This window comes from Homo sapiens, chromosome 4, assembly GCF_000001405.40.
Source record: "Homo sapiens chromosome 4, GRCh38.p14 Primary Assembly".
In the NCBI taxonomy this organism is placed as follows: domain Eukaryota; kingdom Metazoa; phylum Chordata; class Mammalia; order Primates; family Hominidae; genus Homo; species Homo sapiens.
In genome coordinates this window covers 27845382-27852849 of record NC_000004.12, presented here as the reverse complement: position 1 = coordinate 27852849, position 7468 = coordinate 27845382, and positions in this window count along the sequence as shown.

The window sequence follows — 7468 nt, the reverse complement described above, 5'->3', positions numbered from 1 at the left end:
TGAACGGGGGAGCTCTGACTTCTAGTATTTTGTATTTCCTGAATGTAATTACTCCCACTATGGCCCATTTCAAGCTACCAACATATTATTACTACTTGCAATGTTAGTAAGGGATGTATAAATAGTCTCCTGTGAGCTGGTATGACCCAGCTCCATTACATCAGTTCTGCCTTTCTTAAAAAAGTAAAAATAATTGAGTGAATTTGATAAATTTTCCCTTAATGCCTTTTTACCAGACTCTCAGACAAATGTTTTCATTATGGCTACATGTAATCTAAATCTTAAGATTTAGAAGATTGATTATAATACAAAAATGCTGCAGTTAAAAACAAGCACACACATTAGATATGATGATGTTCAATTCTTCATCATTCAGCTTTTCAATTTTATAGATAAAGAAAATGAAGATGTAAAATACAATTACAGACATCTTACTTTAAATAACTGATCAGGGATCAGCATATGGAAGGTAACATAAGAAGAAAATTATAAATTAATTGAGCAGAAAAAAATAATTAAATAAGAAGGATTATTTAAATTAGGAGAAAACAATGAGAACATATTTAACATCCAGCACAATCTCTCCTAGACTGCTTACATATTAAATGCTATTTTTAATTATGGTTGTTTATATTTGTATTACCATCCTCAATTTGCATAATAATCTCACATACGTTTTCTGTTTTAAGTAGCTATTCACTTTTGTTTCTCTGGAATATTATAAATAGATGTGGAGCTATTAAATTTATTCTACACAGCAAACATGACCCTGATGATACTAAAATCTAATTTGAAAAATAGAGAAAACAAAACCACAGGCCAGTCTCACTTACGAATATACATACGGAAGCATAAAAATATTAGCATAGAATTCAACAATACATTAAAAGAATACTGTAAGCTGTCATTGAAGTATTTAACTACAAAATGTAGGGATAGTTCAATATAAGTAAATCTATTAATATAATACAATAAAAAACAGCAGAGTGCAGGAAAAAAGTGTATTGGCTGTGGAACCTCATTGCCTAGATTTATGTCCTTGCTGTGCTATATTGTTCAAAATTTCTTTTTTCCAGACTTGTCATGGCTTAACTTTAGGAGTATATACTAATTTGCCCCTCTGATGCTGAGCTGTGACCCGTTTTGCCAATGGAATGCAGGTACTGGATATGAGCTGAGGCTTTTAGACGTAGATTAGGTTGGTGCTAGCCCTGTTGAGAGAACCATTCATGGGAACAGCACCCCGTTTAAATCAACACCCTTTTTGCCTAGGTCCCAAAATGAGAAACATGTGGAACAGATCTGAACCAAACCCAAAGTTTAGCACTCAGTTCGGCCAGCGTAGGCCAGCCCAAATCAGATGAACTGCTGCAGCCAACCTACTAAGCAATGGACATAAAATTAATTAGCTTGAAGTAATGTAGCCACTGATAGATTTGAATGGTTCATTATACTGTCCTAGGCATAATAGCTAAATAATACCGTAGCTCTGTGACCCTGGGCAGGTTATTTTACATTATATCTCCATTTCACCTTCAGTAAAAGGTAAAATAAAAATACCTATACTTGATATTATAGTGAGGATTACATGATTTAGTACATATTAGCTACTTAGAGCAGTGTATTATACAGCAAGTATTCAATAAATATTAACATTATTTTTAGAAAGTGCAGTATCATTTCATCTTCTGCTAAAAACATATAACAGTTTAAATATTATTTTAAAAAGTAGAGCAATATTACTTCTTCAAAATGTTGAAGAATATATTTTAAAAGTGAATAGCCATAATAACATTTTGTATGAAATTTTTCAATTTGTAAAATATATAATACACAGGCCATCCATGTATTATATTTCATTTAGTAATTAATTCTCAGAAAATAATTATCTCCCTAGGTAGTATTATAAGCTTTCCTTTAAATGAAACAAAAATATGTAACCTATGTTTTCCTTCTTTTTATCTTGGTTGTTAGGAATCTCTAAACCAAATAGACTGTTCACGTATAAAAATCAAAACATCTCAATATGTATTACATCTATTTATCTTCTACTAGTGTTTTTTTAATGTAAGTGCGCTTCATATATTTTTAAATATGGCCATTGCATAATTCTTATAGGTATTTTTAAGCTTTATTCTGAATAAATGGCAAATATAAACTATTATATTAGAAAATAGTATTAGAAATAACTGAATTCTCTTATTTGCTCCATAAATACATGATTATGCACCCTGGGCCATGTTTAACTTTCCTGGGATTTTTATCCACTTGTAAATTGGTAATAATAATAATTCTTTTCTGAGACACCTAAATTATTGCAAGGATAAATTGCAATAGTAAGTCTTAAAATACTTAAAAAATATGGACTGATCAAATGTAAGAGATTCTTATTTAACTGAAAGCGAGATCAAAGTTTATGTTACTTAAATGTTCAAATTTCCATTTCCCTGCAGACATCTTTATTTCCAATTTAGTTCTAGACTTCTGCTTCCCAAAGAGTCAGTGGTTTGTTTAGTAATACTGTCAACAACCCACTTTTAATTACATATTTTCTCAAGGTGATAGAAAACTTCCCTGAGTCTCCAAACACCACAAAATGAACTGTAGTAATACTCTATAATCGATAGTTCATTTTTAGCAGGGTAAAAAATAGTGAGCATTTAAAATCCCATAGCTTTCAAGTTGAAGACAGATGTAAAGCCTACATCCAGTTAAAAAACAGAGATAATTTTAATTGCATGTCTCATTGATCAGTAAATATAGATTGACACTTAAAAATGTAGAATAATTCTAAAATCGATCTCAGTAAAATACTAATTTGATTAACCTAAGTTTAGCCTCACAAAATATTCCTACTTTCATGGCTCTTTAAAATTCCTACGTAGCAGGATTTATAAATTCAAATGTCAACAGAGGCCAGACAAATAAATAAATGAGTAAAATATGCAGGTTAGCAAACCTGGCAAACTGAAGAATATATGCCGGTAAAAAGTGAGTGGCAGGCACTCAGCTCCACTAATTGTTGCTGAGCACACAAATGCAAGTTCAATATTTTCCATCAGTTTTTCAAGAAAAGAGAAAAGTTGTGATTTTTTTAATGCTAACCTTCTTGACTATAAATGTTAAAATCAAATCTAATTATTTTAAAATTACTAAGCAGCCCAAACAAATCAGTTATACAGTCCAACGATTTTCAACTTCTGTGCTATATCACAGCAAGATACTATCTTCTGCCATCTGTTTTCTCTTCTCAATCATCTCCATTCCTTCAGTAATGTGCACTGGCTACTTTCCTATTCTGTCCTAACAAAACCCGAAATCTAGCTGCACCATCCAGTAATGTAGCCCTAGATAGACAATATGCCCATTCTTAATCATGTATCTTTGCTCAAGGCATACATAAACATGGGGAATAAGCAGTCCGTTTTGCCTTTTGTTAGAAACACTGTTTAAATGTTTAATGGAAAGGAGAGATATACATGTTTTGAGGTGGAGGAATACAGAAGTGTGAGGAAAATATTTCATCCACTGTCTTATTAAATTCCTAAGCCTAACTTTTTACGTAGAATGAGGAAGAACTATTTACCCTCTATTCTTTTGTTTAATCCAGTTTGCTAAAAGCTTACCATTGAATTGGGTATTGGGATAGAGAAATGAGTAACTCTTTGATAGAATTTACCATCTAGCAAAGGGAAAGTTAAGACACCAATAATTGTATACTTATCAATTAACTTGCAAATCTGAAAGACCACATAGGTGAAATACAGTGTGCTATGAGAATATCTAATGGGGTATTCATCCAAATCAGGGGATTATGGAAGCTGACCTTTAATCTCAGAGCTGCAGAATGCACGAGTTAGCATGGCAAAGAGAATAAGACGTCTAGGTAGAGCACATAGCATGGATAAATTGTTTACATTTTGATCCAATTGCTCCATCATGCTCTCTCTCTTCCTCTCTCTGCCCCCACCCAAATACAGAAATATTTTTTGAAACTTGTAGGGATCAGTTGGAGAAATCATGCTTCTTTAACTCTAAAATAATTCCACTTGTCACTTGTTTCAAAGAAACAGTATAAATATAGATCAATTTATTAGTTACGAGTTAATTTCATTAGAAAATTATCATTCATAATGGACTAGAGTTTTTATTTCTTTCAAGACAAAAGAGAATACTATCTTCCAAATAGTTTCAGAACTTTTATAATTGTCTCACCCATACTTCATTTGGCAATACATCTTAAGCAAGCTGACTTTTATTTTTGTTTTGAGACAGAGTCTCACTCTATCACCCAGGCTGGAGTACAGTGGCCTGATCTCAGCTCACTGCAACCTCTGCCTCCTGGGTTCCAGTGATTCTCCTGCCTCAGCCTCCTGAGCAGCTAGGACTACAGCAACCTGACTTTACCAGGTATTTCAAAGTATATTACCTTTGTTTACCCCATATTTCACCAATATTAGGAATCATTAGTTCATTGTTCATTGAGTGCCAAAGAACTATGGTGAGTAAATTATCAGGTCAGTTAAGACAGATTCTACTCTATTTCGATATGCTTTCAGTTAAAATATTTTAGGTATACATGTCTTTTTTTTTTTTAGTTAAGACTTATTTTATATTAACATGTTTCAAGTAAAAACTTTTAAGGTATGTACACATTAATTTTTTTATAATGTATTGCTTTTAGTTACTATTTGACTAGGCTACTAGCTGCTAGTCCAGATAGAGTAGAAAAAGTGTCTTCTACTGTCTGCCACCAGGAAAAATGTTTTATTTTCATTATTACTGATCAAAATGAGGGTGAAAGAACTGCTTTTGCATATCAACTAATTTAGAGATCTATACTTAAGGCTATGGTTAATTTAAAATAAGTTGCACTATCGAATTCAATAATCTGGTATTACATTTTAGCCCACAACCATGTTTTCTAGCTAAAAATCTCTCTGCGCTTTTGAGTTTTGAGATTTGTAAAAGCAGACAACCATGTCTCTTAAATTTCTGTAAGAAGTAGGATGAGGTATAGTATAAACACTTCCTAAGACTGCTGGGCATCAGGACACTGACTCAAGTGGGCCAGGTCAAATTTTTCTGAACTCTCTAAGACAGAGATTCCAGAAGTGAAATCCCTGCCAAGCACTATGCTCTTAAGGTGGAGAATGGCTGGAAAAGGGGTTAAATATATGCCTTTTGTCTGAATTAGAGGACCGATATTCTTAGTTTATTTAAAATTAAATGTACTCAAAATTAAATTTAAATATTATCTTAATAAACTACGGATTTGAGTCCCTCTCAAATGTGAAAGAAAAATTTTAAAGTGAATGTGATTTGGAGAAGAAAAATATAAAACTCAGAGAATTAGCACAAGGTCATATTAGCACAGGTATATCTAAAGGCAGAAATAATGAGTTTCTGTTATATAGTTTTAATGATATTTGTATTGCTCAATAATGGATTTGGCCTTTATAATTAAAAATAAAAAATAAAGTTCATTGGGATTTAGCTCTGCCTCAGAATTAATATAGCTTAATTTCTTCCTACAATATTATTTTTTTTCATAGAGCTAATATTTGATGTTCCGTAGGTTTGATTCCATTTTCTTATCCTGTGGTCTTTTCCTAATATGAAGAAACTTTTTTTAGGTTTATGACACATACTGTAAGTTAAAAAGTGGTTCACCAAAGAAATGACTGTGCTTTATAAAAATTCATTTTTGCCAAGGTTTGAGTCATCTTAAATATGTCCTTGAAAATTATCATTTCTCTCAAGCTTAGGCTACTGGGAATGTATTAAAAAATAGCTTACAACAGAATTCTGTTCCTATGCAATAACCAGTTAATGCTATTTTAGCTAATAATTTAAAAGTGTTATAGAATGTACATGAGGCATATCTATATATTGGCTTCCTTCTCAGCATGACCAAAATGCCCTATCATATGAAATGTTTTCATTTCTTTAAGTATGCTTATCCATTTACTTTCTTCTGTTATCTCCCATTGGTGCCATGATATAGAAAGGATATATATGCCCAGTTCAATTCTTATACTATCCAAAGGACACATCTACCCAAATACCCATTTTCAGGTTCAAAGAATAAAATAGATAATACACTGAAATAAATCTTAAAAGATTCACAAAGTCAAAGACTGTTGTAATATATGGGTGTATTTCCCTGAGGAGTCAGATTTGACAAGTTAGGAAAAAGAAGGAACAACAGGTGCAAAGACAGGGCAATAATTACAATGGCTAAAATTGATTGAGCTCTTATTTACCACAGATACTGTAACAAGCCATTCCCAACCATACTAAGCTATTATTTACTGTATATATTATTTAATACATTTAGGTTAAATTCACAAATGTTGTTTTAGGTTTGAACACACATAAACATTCAATCATAGAAATAGGTGCATTTCAGCAATATAAAAATTACATTCATTATATTTCTTATATATTTATTTCACTAAGTCACAGCTTGTTTGTGGTTATTTCTCTTCAAAGACAAACTATTTTTTATTAGCAAATGTCTTACTGCACTGTTAAAACTTCAAAACTGCTGAGTTATTTTGAATGAACAAGACATGGTATAATCTTTTATTCATGCACTAGACAAAGGACTTGGATCATATTACAGAACTATCTGATGTCAAGTAGATTTCAAACAGTTCAAATAACTATAATAATATTATGCAACCTAATTATATTATAAAAAGCAAATGATGAAGCAATAACTCCTACTCTCGTAAGTATGGGCTTTATGATATAAGCTATTTTTTACAAGAAAAGCAATTATGAAACTTTATCAACCATTTAACTTTTTACTATTGGGACCGGTTTTATAATAAAAATATTATAAAGCTATTTATATTAACAACTGGCAGATCATCAGAAATCTACCAACTGGAAATACCTATTACCTAATTTCTATATGCAGAAGTTTATATCAGTGATTCTTATACCTTTACACTTTTCTTCAATTTAGAATCACCTAGAAAGATTTTATATATTGTCATTTCTAAAACATGCCCCCACCTCCTCCAAGTCCAATTTAGAGAGAATCTCTGGGGATGGTGCCCAAGCAAAGATCTTTGTAACATCTCCCCAGGTGAGTCTAAAGTCTAGGAAGCATTGGTCTACCAAAAACAAACTACTATTTGAAGAAGAAATACACTACTGTGATACAATAATGCTGGTCTCTCTTGTAAAGTAATTTCTCCAAATAGAAATTTAACCATTTCCTCAAAAAGAGCCAATAATTACTCTCTAAAGTGTTATATAGAAACAGGTATTTTTCTAGTCTTTGCTTTAATTCCCCTTTTAACAGCCACTTTATATAAGAAGAGTTATCAGTTAAAAAGAGGAAAAAGGAAAAGAAATTAGAAGGGTTCAAAAATAGGTGATTATTTCATCTAAACATTATGTGAATGAGATCACAAATAAAACTCATTAGGCTAACACAATGAAGATCTTTCAT